This window comes from Homo sapiens, chromosome 12 (assembly GCF_000001405.40).
Source record: "Homo sapiens chromosome 12, GRCh38.p14 Primary Assembly".
Lineage (NCBI taxonomy): Eukaryota > Metazoa > Chordata > Mammalia > Primates > Hominidae > Homo > Homo sapiens.
Genome location: NC_000012.12, coordinates 112,598,527 through 112,613,981, shown reverse-complemented (window position 1 = coordinate 112,613,981; position 15,455 = coordinate 112,598,527). Strand labels below are relative to the sequence as shown.

The following is a 15,455-nucleotide window of genomic DNA, read 5'->3' as shown; positions in this document are numbered from 1 at the left end:
CTCCTCTTATCTCTGACCCTACTTCTTGCTTTTCTTTAGAGACAGGATCTCACTCTGTCACCCATCCTAGAGTGCAGTGGTGCAATCATAACTCACTACAGCCTCCACCTCCTGGGCTCAAGCAATCCTCTCGCCTCAGTCTCCTGAGTAGCTGGGATTACAGGCGTGTACCACCACATCCAGCTAGTTAATTTTTTGCAGAGGCAGGGTCTTGCTATGTTGTCCAGCCTGGTCTTGAACTCATAGGCCCAAAAGATCCTCCCCCATCAGACCCCCACCCTCACCACCAAGTAGCTGGGTCTACAGGCATGCACCATCACACCTGGCTAATTTTGTTTGTTTTTAGTAAAGACAGGGTCTCACTATGTTGCCCAGGTTCTGCTTCCCTTTTATAAGGATCTGGGTGATGGATTGGGCTCACCTGGATAATCCAGGATCATCTCTACATCTCAAGATCCTTAATCACATCTGCAAAGTCCCTTTTGCTGGAAGGTAACATATCCATGGGCTCCAGAATTAGGACATGGACATCTTTGGGAGCCATTACTCCATCAACCATAGCTGGTCAGAGGCAGAGCCAGGATCCAAATCTCCAGGTCTAACTGCAGAGTCCATTCTTAGAACCGCGAGGCCACCAAGAATATCCCTGACACCTCCTTTCCAGGAAGGCAACGACCTGGTCTCTCCAACCATTACACAGGGGGATTCACCAAAAGCCCACTCCGCAACAAACTCAGCAGGCTTTAGAGTTAGAAAGTCCCGGGCTTCAATCTCAACAATGACCCATACCAGATTTGTGTCCTTGGCCATGCACTTGGCCCTTTATGAGTCTCAGTTTCCTCATCTGTGAAGTGGGAATAATTAGATCCACCTCACAGGGCTGTTGTGCAGGTTAAATGAGGTTATGTAGAGAAAGGGCTTAACACAGACCCAGTGTAGAACTAGAGCTCATTAGACAGGAATTATCATCATCATCATCATTATCATTATTATCGGAAAGGTAGAAACTGGCCACAAGCCAGCCCTTCCAGAATAATCTTGTTTATACCTGGGTGCTCTCTTTGGACTTCACCTTGGATATCCTAGAGTTTAAAAAGTAAAACTCAGGCTGGATGCTGTGGCTCACACCTGTAATCCCAACACTTTGGGAAGCTGAGGCAGGCAGATCGCTTGAGCCCAGGAGTTCAAAACCAGCTTGGGCAATCTGATGAAACTCCAGTCTCTACAAAAAAAAAAGAAAAATACAAAAATTAGCTGGGCATGGCAGTGCACACCTGTAGTCCCAGCTGCTCAGGAGGCTGGGGCAGGGGGATCACTTGAGCCCAGGAAGTTGAGGTTGCAGGGAGCCGAGATCACGTCATTGCACTCCAGCCTGGGTGACAGAGTGAGACCCTGTCTCAAAAAAAAAAAAAAAAAAAAAAAGGCAAAACTCCCTCTTTAGGGCCCAGACACTCTTCCTAGGATCCTCTAGGGCCCAGACACTCCTCAGGGAACCCCAGGGACAGAAAAGAGAACCCCAATCACAGGTGAAAAGTTTAACGGAGCAAATGTGAGGTGCTAACAACTTCCCAAGAGGAAAAACCATTGCAAGTTTTCTACCCTGTTTCTCGGGCCCGTTAAAGGGGTGTGTGTTCTCAGAAGCAGAGTAACTACACTTAACCTCAATTACACCAACAGGGCCTTTCAAAAGCCAGAGTCGTGATGTGGAAGATCAAGCAAGAAGCACATGGACTCATTTCAGCACTGCAAATGCAGTAAAGGCTCTAATTAAAGGCCTCCTGGAGTAATTCCAAATGAATAGCCCACCCCCCCAAAAAATATTTTGACAGGCGGGGCTGAGTTATTCAATAGACATTGCTCCTTATTTAAAGCAGAGCGTGGGTTGGCAAAAGGCTGTTTTGTTTCCACTTTATTTCTTCACTGGAGTCTTTATAGCCCGGATTTCATTACGGTTCCAAGAATGCCACACAAGATCAGAGGAAATGTGGTAGTGACAACTGAAATTCTGGCGGATGTGCCTATATTTGACAAATGCTTTAGCCGCTAGCCATAAGCACATCCATTTAAATTAAGGAGTAGGAGGGACAGTTACCCTACTGCAGGCTGCTAATTTCATTGAAGGGACTCTAATTATTTTTCCCTTTTTTTTTTTCTTGCTGGCTAGGACAATGCTAGTTACATAAGAGTATTTCTATTGCTAGAATTAAATATTGAAGTAAAAAATAACAACAGCCCTGGCTGGGCACAGTGGCTCATACCTGTAATCCCAGCACTTCGGGAGGCTGAGGTAGGTGGATAACCTGAAGTCAGGAGTTCAAGACCAGCCTGACCAACATGGTGAACCCCCCCTCCCAATCTCTACCAAAAATACAAAAATTAGCTGGGCGTGGTGGTGCGCACCTGTAATCTCAGCTACTCAGGAGGCTGAAGCAGGAGAATCCCTTGAACCCGGGAGGCGGAGGTTGCAGTGGGCCGAGATTGTGCCATTGTACTCCCGAAAAAAAAACAATCCAAGATGCTCTGGGTAGGATGAGTAGGGATCTGGATGGAACTAACACATTGCCAGAAGAGTGGCAGGAATGACTTTCCCATGGCAAAATTCTTGCACCTTTCCTAGGGAAGTAAAAAGAATGCTCAGGTGTCTGCACCATCAGTCGTGGTGGTGGTTACATGACTGCATTCATTTGTCTAAACTCATAAAACCAGGGAGCTGTGAACCAGCTCTCTCCTGTGAAAATGAAAAGATACCATTGCATTTGATCAGTGAAACTGATTAACAAGCTAAAAGGTAAGAAAGAAAGAATGCTTGACATCTACCTATAACTGGTTCTTGGAAGTGTTCTGCTTACTAAAAAGCTGAATTATCTAATGGTTCATTCATTGAACAAGGGTTTTATTGAGCACCTACTATGTTTAAAGCACTGTTCTGGGCTTTGGGAAAACAGCCATGAACAAGATGACGAAATCTTTGTCCTCAAAGAATTTACATTCAAATGGGGAGAAATAACTGTAACTAAGAAAGTAAATGCATAAAATAACTTTAGACAGGTGGGTGCGGGGGCTCACACCTATAATCCCAGCAGTTTGGGAGGCCAAGGTGGGTGGATCACAAGGTCAGGAGATCGAGACCATCCTGGCTAACACGGTGAAACCCTGTCTCTACTAAAGATAAGATACAGAACATTAGCTGGGCGTGGCGGCAGGCGCCTGTAGTCCTAGCTACTCGGGAGGCTGAGGCAGGGGAATGGCATGAACCCAGGAGACGGAGCTTGCAGTGAGCCAAGATCATGCCACTGCACTCCAGCCTGGGCAACAGAGTGACACTCCATCTCAAAAATAAATAAATAAATAAAATAATAATTTTAGACATGTTTAAGTGCTTTGAAGATAATCAAATAAGATAATGGACTGCAGAGGGACTAAGTGAGCTGCTCCTTTAGATAGATCAAGGAAGGCTTTTTTTTTTTTTTTTTTTAATTGAGACAGAGTCTCACTCTGTTGCCCAGGCTGGAGTGCAGTAGTGCAACCTCTGCTCCCTGCAACCTCCACCTCCTGGGTTCAAGCGATTCTCCTGCCCCAGCCTCCTAAGTAGCTGGAATTACAGGCGCCTACCACCACGCCAAGCTAATTTTTGTATTTTTAGTAGAGACGGGGTTTCACCATGTTAGCCAGGCTGGTTTCGAACTCCCAACCTCAGGTGATCTGCCTCGCTTGGCCTCCCAAAGTGCTGGGATTATAGGCATGAGCCACCTCACCGACCCAAGGAAGGTTTCTTAAAGGAAAAGCCATTTAAGCTGAAACCAGAAGGAGGAGAGGCACCAGCCAGAAGGAACAGCAAATGCAGAGGTGGAAACAGAGCGATCAGTGTGGTGTGGCTGGAGCCAAGAGAGCCGGGGGAGAGTAGAGATGAAGAAAGGAAGCAGGAAAAGATGAGATGGGAGAGCAGGGCACGGTCAGATCACTCCGTCCCTTGTGGGCTGTAGGAAGAGTCTGAGTTTTACCCTCAAAGCAATAGGAAGCCATTGATAGATTTCAAGCGAGGCTGCAAAAGTGGAACAACTATTCCAGTGGTTCAAGGCATGCTTTGGGAGCTACGTTAGCTGCTCTGTCACCATGGACACCAGGACCATTGGCCCACTGCGTGTCAGACTTGTGCTGGGGTTGATTTTCCAGAAAGTGGGGCTGGTTATGTTTCCCATCACTGAGATGCTTTTGAACAATAGGCATCAAGATGACAGGTTGGTTTGGGGGGCAGGTCTGTAATTTATTCATGCATGTTGACAGGTGCTGACTCTAGGCACTGGGGATGCAGCAATGAACAAACAGACCAAATCCAGTCTCACAACAAGCTCTGTCATCAATGCTAGAAGGTAGCAGAGGAGGGGAAGCACAGAGATGTGAGAGCACCAAGAAGGAGCACCTAGTGCAGACTGGAAGGAATCCAGGACGGCTTCTTGGTGAAGGCAAACCAAACAATAGGCAGGAGGTGGAAGGAGAGAAGAAATAGGATTCTAGAGAGACAGAATATCATGTGCAAAGACCTAGAGATTTCACAGGAAACTCAAGGGACAGCAGTAAGACTCAACTGGAGCAGAGAATGTGAGTGAATGGTCAGATCTGCATGTTAGGAAGAACAGTCTAATTCCAGCTACTGAGGAGGCTAAGATGGGAGGATCACTTGAGGCCAGGCATTTGAGACCAGCCTTGGCAACATAGCTAAACCCCATCTCTACATAAAATAAAATACTCAGACATGGTGGCGTGCACTTGTAATCCCAGCTACTTGAGATGGGGAGAGGTATAAGTCAAGGATAACCCTTGAACTTCTACCTTCTAGGTCAATTGTCTGGTGGTGGCATTATGTAAGAAACAGTCTGTGAGGATTTGGGGAAGATGGTGCTCACGAAACATCCAGATCTGGCATCGTCCAATGAGATCACTACAAACCACACATGGCTATTTATTGTATACTTGAAACGTGGCTAGTATGACTAAAAAAGTGAATTTTTTATTTTATTTAATTTTCATCTACTTTAATCTTAGTTTTTAACTCAAATCTGATTCAGTTCCTGGAGCATTTTAAAGAATGATTAGGACTTACTGATGTCAATCTACTTTGCCAGTTGTAAATATAACCAAATAGAAATCCAGATCAAATATTTCTGATGAAAAGTTAGCATCCAATGTGAAATGTGCTGTAAGTGTAAAGCAGATTTTGAAGGCTTGGTCCAAAACACAAAAAGAATAGTGTGTCTGCCTCCCCTTTTATCACAGCTTACTGTGCATTTAACACAGAAGCTCAAGCCCTTGGGAATGATCAGCTGCTTGCGTCTTACAAGAAGGTTTGCATTTCTCAGGTCTTAAGTCGTGGCATCTGAAAAGCCAGTTTCCCCAAATATCTCAAGACAACATCTCGATTAAAAGCAGAAGTCCTTAATTAATGAAACAAATAATTAACCTTGAGAATGGAAGTGTTCCCCCAAAGCACAATATATGAATTTGCTAATTTAATTCAATAAATATTTACTAAGAATCTACCATGGGCAGGACACTACTTGAGAATGTCAGCCAGGCGGGATAGCTCATGCCTGTAATCCCAGCACTTTGGGAGACCAAAGCGGGTGGATCACCTGGGGTCAGGAGTTCAAGACCAGCCTGGCCAACATGGTGAAACCCCATCTCTACTAAAAATACAAAAAATAGCCAGATGTGGTGACGGGTGCCTGTAATCCCAGCTACTCGGGAGGCTGAGGCTGGAAAATCACTTGAACCCGGCAGGCAGAGATTGCAGTAAGCCAAGATCGCCCCACTGCACTCCAGCCTGGGAAACAGAGCGCAACTCCCCGTCAAAAAAAAAAAAAAGAAAAAGAAAGAGGAGGAGGAGGGAAAGATATAAAAGATGAGGGTAAGAGAATAAATGAATGCATAGAGGAAAATTTTAAAGTCCCTGGGCATGTGTTGGGAACAGCAAATCATCCCCTTTGGCTTTCCAGGAAAGTTAAGACCAGGTACTAGGCTAAGGAGTCTGTATTCGATGCCAGAGGGAACAGAGAGCCACTAAAGGTTTTAGAGCGGGAAAGTGACTTCAAAGCAAACTGCCTTCTGGTTCGCCATAAAATGAACTACATGTCGAGCAAAGAACAGTGCATTTAATGGACAAGAGGCCAGGCTAAAATCACAGCAAGGCATTTAGGAGGAAGAGAAATTGCAGAGAGAAGCTAAGACAAATCTGGTTCATTGATGTTTGAGAATTTCACCAAGAGCCACACTCAAGAAATCGTTTATTTATCAACTCTGTAGTGAGGACAGAACAAGTATTCCCTCAAGGGCCGCATAACTTGCTGGAAACCCTTCAGATGCTCAAATTCAGGTAGGTGATTAAAAAGCACTTCTACAACTGAGTACTTCTCTTTCTTTTAGCTATGCCATTTAGTGTGTCTTCCAATTAACATAAAACTGCATTAGCCAGTTCCTTGACCCAACAGGAGGAGAAAGAAATCATTGCTCAATTTTTAATATGCCCTTTTAGATTGCAAAGGAAAAAAACGGGTAATTATGTACATAAATATATTGTTCAATTCCTGCATTTAAAAAATGCTGAACAATTCACCTGGCTTCTATTAAATCTGTGCAACTATTATCTAAAATTATTACAAGTAGGATACTATGAATAGACTTTTGAAAATAAATAGTATGGGTGTGCTATATAAACAATCTGAGGATGGTGAATTGTTCAAGCCAGAAGGAACCTCTGATATTATGCAATTGAACCCATGCATTTTACAAATGAAAGTAGCCCCAAGAGGCCAAGCAACTTCCCTAAGTCACACAGCAAGCTGGGATCTTGGTGCATAGGGAAGTGGCATCTATAAGTAGCAGTGTGTGGTGCCTTTAAGTGTTGACTCTCTGCCACCCATTGAGCTAATCACTTTTTATGTATTATCTGATCCCCCCCTTAAAGGTCCTATGAAGTAGGTACTGTTTTATCCCCATTTTACAGATACGAAAAGCAAGATCCAAAGAAGTGAAGTTGCTTGCTGATGTGGTTTGGATCTGTGTCCCCACCCAAATCTCATGTTGAATTGTAATCCTCAACATTGGAGGAGGGGCCTGGTGGGAGGTGACTGGATCATGGGGGTGGAGCTCCCCCTTGCTGTTCTCATGATACTGAGTGAGTTCTCACGAGACCTGGTTGTTCAAAAGTGTTTAGCACCTCCCCCTTCTCTCACTCTCTCCTGTTGCCTTGTTGAAGACATGCTGCTTCCCCTTCACCTTCCACCATGATTGTAAGTTTCCTGAGCCCTCCGCATCTACGCTTCCTGTTCAGCCTGCAGAATTCTAGCCAATTAAGCCTATTTGCTCCACTTGAGGTCAGGAGTTCAAGATCAGCCTGGTCAACATGGTGAAATCCCATCTCCACTAAAAATCCAAAAATTAGCCAGCCATAGTGGCGGGCACTGTAATCCCAGCTACTCAGGAGGTTGAGGCACAAGAATTGCTTGAGACTGGGAGGCAGAGATTACAGTGAGCCGAGATGGCGCCACTGCACTCCAGCCTGGTGACAGACTCCATCTCAAAAAAAACAAAAACAAACAAACAAACAAAAACCCTATTTTCTTTATAAATTGCCCAGTCTCTGGTAGTTCTTTATAGCATATGAGAACTAGACTAATATACTTGCCCTAACCCTAACCCACAGCGAGTAAATAGTAAAGTTGGTAAGTGGTAAATTCTAGTAAATGCTAGAAGTTGAACTCAAATCTTAACACAAACCTGTTCTCGTTTCACAAGAGCATATGCAAATTAAAATATTATCTCCGAGACCGTGAGCTCATGTAGCACAGTACATAGAGTCACAGCTTGTGGAAGGGAAGGAGCCAGGGCCAAGCAGGTACTAAGAGAAGAAAGATACATAGATAAGTGGCTGCTCAACACCTCAGCTATCTAGAAGATTATATCACTCGCCCCCACTTTTTTAACAGAATTTTTGTGAGAATCGAGTGATACACTCCATATGAATGACCTTGGAGAGTTAGGAAGAGTTATACAAAGGATAAATTGAACAGACCCATATAATTATTTCAGGAAGAGAGGAAGAAATCTTTCTGAGCACTCCAAAATGTTATAAAACCCACTGGCTAAAGGGGGAACCCCAGATATTCACTCAGAGCCCACTGCCTCTTGGTTGACACACGATGCACGCTAGTAGTTACTAGGTTTCCCAGTTCCACAGGAGATGGAAAACTCTGACTTAGGTCACAAAAGGCTTAGGGGAGAAAGACTTGCTTGGATATAATGGATGAAAGCTGGGCAGATATAGAAAGAGCTGAGAGGAACTCTAAATAAAAAGGCTTGCAGGCTAGGGCTATTTAATACAAGGGCAAAGAGTGCTCCATTCCTCAGGAGAAATGACAGTTCAGTGAAGAGTATGGAGCCAGCTAGAACTATGGGCATGTCCAACCTCCACCACCCATAAGTTGTATAAGCTTTGGCAGGTTACTGCACTTCTGAGTCTAGTGGTTTGTTGTTGTTGGTTTTGTTTTTTGTTTTGTTCGGTTTCGTTTGGATTTTTTTGTTTTTGTTTTTTGTTTGTTTGTTTGTTTGTTTGAGATGGAGTCTTGCTCTGCCAACCAGGATGGAATGCAGTGGTGCAATCTCAGCTCACTGCAACCTCTGCCTCCCGGATTCAAGCCATTCTCCTGCCTCAGCCTCCCACGTAGCTGGGGTTATAGGTGTGTGCCACCATGCCTGGCTAATGTTTGTATTTTTGGTAGAGATGGGGTTTCATCATATTGGCCAGGCTGGCCTTGAATTCCTGACCTCAGGTGATCTGCCCACCTTGGTCTCCCAAAGTGTTGGGATTACAGGCATGAGCCACTGCACCTGTCCTGAGTGTGGTGGTTTTAAAATGTCTACAGATTATTTGATACTCCCCACTTCAAGAGGTAAAGCCCTTGAAGGTAGAGCCCCTTGAATTCTCCTCCCCTTCTACCAAACAGAATAAAGCAGAATTAACAATACACAACTTCAGACGCTAGGTCACGGAAGGTTTCCATCTTGGTCTCTGCCTCTCTCAGATTGCTCACTCTGGGGGTGGCCAGCTGCCATGTTGGGAGGTCACTTAAGCAGAGCTATGGAAAGATCCACGAGACAAGGAACTGAGAGACCTCCAGCCAACAATCATGTGAGTGTGCCATCCTGGAAGTGGATTTTTCAGCCCAGTCAAGCCTTCAGAGGGTGGCAGCCCCTGCTACATTCTGACTACAACCTCATGAGAGGCCTTCAGCCAGAATCACTCAGCTAAGCTATACTGAAATGCTGATCCTCAGAAAGTACATGAGATCGTAAATGTCACTTATATAATTAACCCAACATGTAAGCTGCTACATGTTGGGTTAATTTGTTACCTAGTAATAGAAAACTAATACAGTGAGACACCATTTCTCTATCTGTAAAATGGGAATAAAAAGTGAGGATAGGGAACATAAGTAGGAATACATAAAATGTCTAGCAAATGCCTGGCATGTTGTAGTTGCTGAATATATGCTAGTTTCCCTCCCTACCTTCCCCTCAAACACACCTGAGAGTGTAACTCTCAGCACAGATGACTGACTTTTATAACATGGAAAAAAGTTAAATTGTTCTGTATCCTCTTTTAGAAAGCAACACAATTTTTAAAGGTGGGTAGGGGGTGATTCTTGAAATGGTTGCCAGTAAAGTCACCCTCAGTAAAATTGAAAAGTTATAGCAACACACTAGCAAATTGATAAGCACACAATCCCTTGAGTTCAGACAGATCTAGGCTTCAGGTATCAGCTCTGCCACTTTACCAGCTGTGTGCTCTTGAGAAAATCACTTAACCTCTCTGAACCTCATATTCTGCACATAAAGATTGATTACCTCAATGGCTTATGATTCAGTCACCTGCAAAATGTACTTATTTAGAACTTTGCCTACCTTGGGGTTCCAGATAAAATGGCCAGCAATTGCCAAGAGAAGACCAGAACCAGTTGCCTGGTTAATGTGTCCCCTCCTGCCTTCCACAACCAACAAACCAACCAACACACACACAAGCACACATTCAACTAGGCAGTATGCTGGGGGGCTGGGTTATATTACATCCCTTTCCCTTTGTCAGAGGCATTCAAACCAGAGTGACTCCATCTTGAGTGAGGGCGAAGAAAAATGAGACTGGGACTTGCTGGGCTGTTTTCCCAGGGTGTTGGGTATTTCTAGCATGTAGATGTTTATGGTTAAGAGAACAGATTCATAATGTTACTAAAAAGTCCCAAGCCGAGGAATGTCCTGTTAACCCGATATCTTGAGAACAAAAGCATTCCTAATTTTGCTTTAAAGATAATAATATTGATTCTTACAAAATATAGTAATTAAGAAAATTGAATCTTTATCACAAACCCTTGTACATCTTCCCATGATTTTTTTGTTTTTGTTGTTATCCTATGTATATACAAGCATTATACCTAGGGTGGGTGTGTTCCTCCTCTTACTTTCAGGAACGCCCTACTCTGTCTATGGAGTAGCTGTCCTTTCAACTGCTTTCCTTTCTTAATAAACTTGCTTTTGCTTTGCACTGTGGACTCACCCAGAATTCTTTCTTGTGCTAGATTCAAGAACTCGCTCTTGGGGTCTGGAATGAGATCCCTTTCCAGTAAATCTTCAAGAGTGCTTTTGCTACTAATGGGACTCAGGACACACTACTCCAAAATATAGCACCTTGATATTTGAGAAAACAGCTGAAGCAGGAAGGTCTCTCTCACCTTCTCCCTTGAAGCAATCATAAGACAGTCATTCAACAGATGCTCTCCCTACACCTGGGGGAAAGGAGCATCCTAATCTCTGAAGACACAGGAGTCTGAACAAACAGGCCTTGTTAAGTTCCCCCAGTTTATTACCATTAGATCATACCCCTTTTGTCCAATCATACTTCTCCATGACTATCTACTTTCCCATCACACCCTCATCACAGGAAAAATACACAGATTTCCCTGTTTCTTTGGGTCTTTATCTTTCCAATAGCTCCCATATCACTTAAAACTTAAATACATTTATATTTTTTTCTCTTGTTAATCTGTCTTTTGCTGTAGGAGCCCCAGCCATGAACCTAAGATGGAAAGAAAAGATATTTCCTTTCTGCTACTCTCTTTCTCCTACTCTTTTTTTTTCTCTCTTTTAATAGCGTCCCATTGTGTGACGCCCAGGCTGGAGTGCAGTGGTGTGATCACAACTCACTGCAGCCTCGAAATTTCTGGGCTCAAGCAATCCTCCCGCTTCAGCCTCCTGAGTAGCTGGGATTACAGGCATGCACCACCACGCCTGGTTAATTTTACACTATTCATTTTAATAAAACTTCACATTTATAAATATGTTTGGATTGGGGTAGGGGAGCCTTGACACATACCATGACTTGTCTTAGCCCTGCCCCTACTAAGTTTGGCCTCCTTTCTGCAGTGATGAGAACACTCCTTCCTCTAGCTTCCTCCCCCAAAAACAGTCATCAAGTGTCTGGGAATGTTTGGATGGTAAGCCAGGGAGGTGAACTGTAATTAAAACGCAGATGGATAAAGCAGGTACTCCTTTAACATGCAAATTGAGATCCTGGCGGCCAGCAAGCTCCATTTTGAGCCTGGGCGGCAGGCTTTCTTAGAGGGGGCTTTGTTAGAAAGGCAGAGGGCTTTGTTAGAAAGGCACCATGAAGGAGTGGAAGGAATGGGGATTAAAGAAGGTTAAAGGACTTGGTTAAAGAGGCCAACAAAACCCTCCCAATGGCTGAGTTGCAAGTTTTTAAATTACTATTACCTACTTGAGACATATTTTGAAAGGCGTGAAGAAGAATAAATGGCCCCAGGAGCAGATTAAGAAGTAAACATCCCCAGTCTATCTGAAGGCTCTTGTGTGCCCCGCCTCAGCAATACCCACCTCTGCCTCTGCAGAGGGAGCCTCTATTCTGAAGTAGGTGTTACTCCAGCCTCATGCTGTTTTTATACTTTTATTACCTATTTGGCTGGTTTGTTTATTTTTTGGAGACAAAGTCTCGCTCTGTCACCCAGGCTGAAGTGCAGTGGCATGATCACAGCTCACTGCAGCCTGGACCTCCCAGGCTCAAGCAATCCTCCTACCTCAGCCTCCCAAGAAGCTGGGACCACAGTCTACACAGGTGTGTGCCACTACACCTGGCTAATTTTTTTGTTTTTTATAGAGACGTGGTTTTGCCATGTTGCCCAGGCTGGTAGTGAACTCCTGTGCTCAAGTGATCCGCCCACCTCGGCCTCCCAAAGTGCTGGGATTACAGGCATGAGCCACTATGCCCAGTCTATTTATAATCTACTTGTATAATGTTTATCCCTAACTTTATGTAGTTGCTGTGCATATTTTTAAACTTTATGTTAAAAAATAGTCTATATGTACTTTTTTGTGCAATTTGATTTTATTTTCTTGGCACGTTTTTTGGGGGATTCACCCACGCTGATTCACAGAGCCCTGGCTCACTCACTTTCAGTGGCATGAATATAATGTACAAATCCACTTTCCTGTTGATAGGGCAAATTTACATCCCCATTCCCAAACACACTGTGCAAAAGATTATAAAAGGAAATAGAATTAACTGTTGAAGGCTCCTGTTTTTTCAGAGGTATGTCCTAGGAAATGAGCCAAACATTTTTCCTATTTACCCCAAAGGACTGCTGTAAGGGTTAAAGAACATGAAGATAATAATAAAAGTTAACATTTATCAAGTGCTTGCAGCCTGCCAACTTCAGGCTAGGAGTTTTGCATTAATTGTGCATTTAATCCTCAACACAGCTACTGATACGATTTGGCTCTGTGTCCCCACCCAAATCTCACCTTGAATTATAATCCTGGTAATCCCCACGTGTCAAGGGCAGGACCAGGTGGAGGTAATTGAATCATGGGGGCGGTTCCCCCCATGTTGTTCTCGTGATAATGAGTGCCTCTCATGAGATCTAATGGTTTTATAAGCATCTGGCATTTCCCCTGCTTGCATGCATTCTCTCTCCTGCCGTCCTGTGAAGAGGTGACTTCCACCATGATTGTAAGTTTCCTGAGGCCTCCCCAGCCATGTGGAACTGTGAGTCAATTAAACCTCTTTTCTTTATAAATTATCAAGTCTTGGGTATGTCTTTATTAGCAGCATGAGGACGGACTAATATAGTAAATTGGTACTGAGGTAGTGGGACACTGCTGTAAATATAGCCCAAAATGTGGAAATGACTTTGGAACTGGGCAACAGGCAGAGGTTGGAACAGTTCAGAGGGTTCAAAAAAAGAAGGAAGACGTGGGAAAGTTTGGAACTTCCTAGAGACTTGTTGAATGGTTTTGACCAAAATGCTGATAGTGATATGGACAATGAAGTCCAGGCCAAGGTGGTCTCAGACAGAGCAGTGAGTAGCTAATAGTGTCCCATTTTACGGTTGAGGAAACAGTGGCTCAGAGAGAGAGGAAGTTATTTGACTGAAGACATACTGCTTGGAGGAGACCAGAGTAGGATGGAACTCAGATCTCTGTCTCACAATCCCAACTGCTTAACCTCACACCTTATGACAGAAAAAGGACTTAGGGCAGGCAGTGAGCTCTCAGTAAATTGTCATGGTTGTTATCGGTAATAATGAACCATTTTTAAGTCAGGCAGGATTATCAGAGCTGGCATTAATTATTCAGCACAACCTGGGGAGAGCACCTTGCAGTATGCCCTGTATTTAAATTAAGAAGAAGAAAACAGATGACTGAGTGGATCAACCTTTTCCAAAATCTGACTCTAATTATACCCCAAGGGAGTGCCCTAAATCTGCAAACACTGGAAAATTGCACCACTGTGACTCAGGAATATATGTTATGCAATCTCTTTTCACCAGGCTCAGGGTTCAGGGTTAGGAAATAATGCCCTTATTGAGCATAGAAATTGTACCGGGTACAAAGCTGAATTCTCTATGCATAGTTACTCACTCAGTCCTCACAGCAACTCCGGAGGCAGACACTGTTATCATCCCGTGATGCACTCCAGAAGGCTGAGGCTGAGAGAGGGTGAAGCCACTTATCTGAAGTCACTGGGATAGTTAGTGGCAGAAATGATGTGCCTATTAACCACTATGCAGGGGGCAAAATCGGGACAGCTATGTGCCAGGTCTCTCCAACCCCTAAGAAAGTTTAAGAAACACTGCATTTAACTTTTTTTTAATATCAGTTAGAGATGGGAAGGGTGGTGGGATACCACTAACACTTTGCCTTCTACATGGTTGTATTTATTCTATTTCAACAAGCATACATTTTCTTTTACAGTTAAAATTTTTAAGTCCCAAAGAACATCCAAAAAATCAGGTGAGCAAGTTGAAAAATATTCCAAGCTATAACTAACCCATTTATTCGGGGCCTTCTGAATAAACCAAATTCCTACAAATCAAATTGCAATCAGTAGCCTGTGCCCAGGGCAGGGTCAATACAAACCCTGGACACTTGACAGTAGAGGTTCTCACCTCAATTTATAAAAATATTAAAATGTAACCACATAAAATATAGAGAGAACTGGGGGTTGAGTCACCATTGAGTAGTTGATGCAATGTTGCATTGTATAGGCATGAGATGAAACATGTATTAATTTAAATTCAGTTTTATGGTTTTCTTCTTCTATTTCAGAGGCTACAACTTCTTTCTAGGATGCAAACATCCCCACAGGCCCTCATAAGCCTTATAAGCACCCAGCACTGAGCCTCGTGGTGCTGCATGGATAAACCAGCTGCCATCTTGGCCACATGAATCGAAAGTTAACTTGGTCTTGCTACACACACACTACAACTCATTTTTCTATTCTTCCATGTTGGTCCTGATAATATGTCAAAGCCTATGCAGCAGGCAGTGTGGCAAGATGCTGACAGCAGAATGCCTAGCAGACAAATGATTAATGGCTGCACTGCGGAACAAAGAGGTTAATTACTGGTGTCTAAGATATCTGAGGGGAACATGTTACACACCCATATTACCAATTAACCTCACACCTAAAAAAATCATAGTCTGCAATTAATAGAAAATGACTGTCATCCTAATTACAAGGTCTATACAAGAGGCCAGTATTAGGCAAGGAGACTTTTGTTTTAAACCTCTTCCTGGCTAGTTCCCTAAATTTTTTGGCACCCTTTCAATGAGTTATGCTTAGATTCCACACCCTTCTTAAAGCTGTCCCCAGAAATAGTAGTTGCTGCTGCTGCTGCTGCTATTGGTAACTTTTATTAAGCACTTACGACATGCCAGGTGCTGTGCTGAGTACTTTGTGTGCATTATCTCCCTCATCCTCCCACTTCACTTATTCATGACCCCTGCCTGCTGCAATTTTTCACTTTTCAGTCTCCACACTTGATTTCTTGGGTTTTACAGTCTAAGGAATTCAATTTTACCAAGTACTCTCAAAAGGCGGTGGTCTGTCTAGA

The 15,455-nt window shown here is 43.6% G+C and overlaps 1 protein-coding gene across 1 annotated transcript in view, besides 1 other annotated feature; it reads right to left on the bottom strand.

Moving 5' to 3' along the window:
• RPH3A (rabphilin 3A) overlaps nt 1-15,455 on the bottom strand; it is a 323,646-nt gene that overhangs the window by 284,900 nt on the left and 23,291 nt on the right. The gene's annotated exons all lie outside the window — the stretch shown is intronic.
• Nucleotides 11,073-11,801: an enhancer, noted in NCBI's record as "OCT4-NANOG-H3K27ac hESC enhancer chr12:113039985-113040713 (GRCh37/hg19 assembly coordinates)". NCBI's record gives its function as "activates a minimal SCP1, AML or CMV promoter by ChIP-STARR-seq in primed H9 embryonic stem cells {active_cell/tissue: H9 hESC(primed)}" and the evidence as "EXISTENCE:reporter gene assay evidence [ECO:0000049][PMID:30033119]".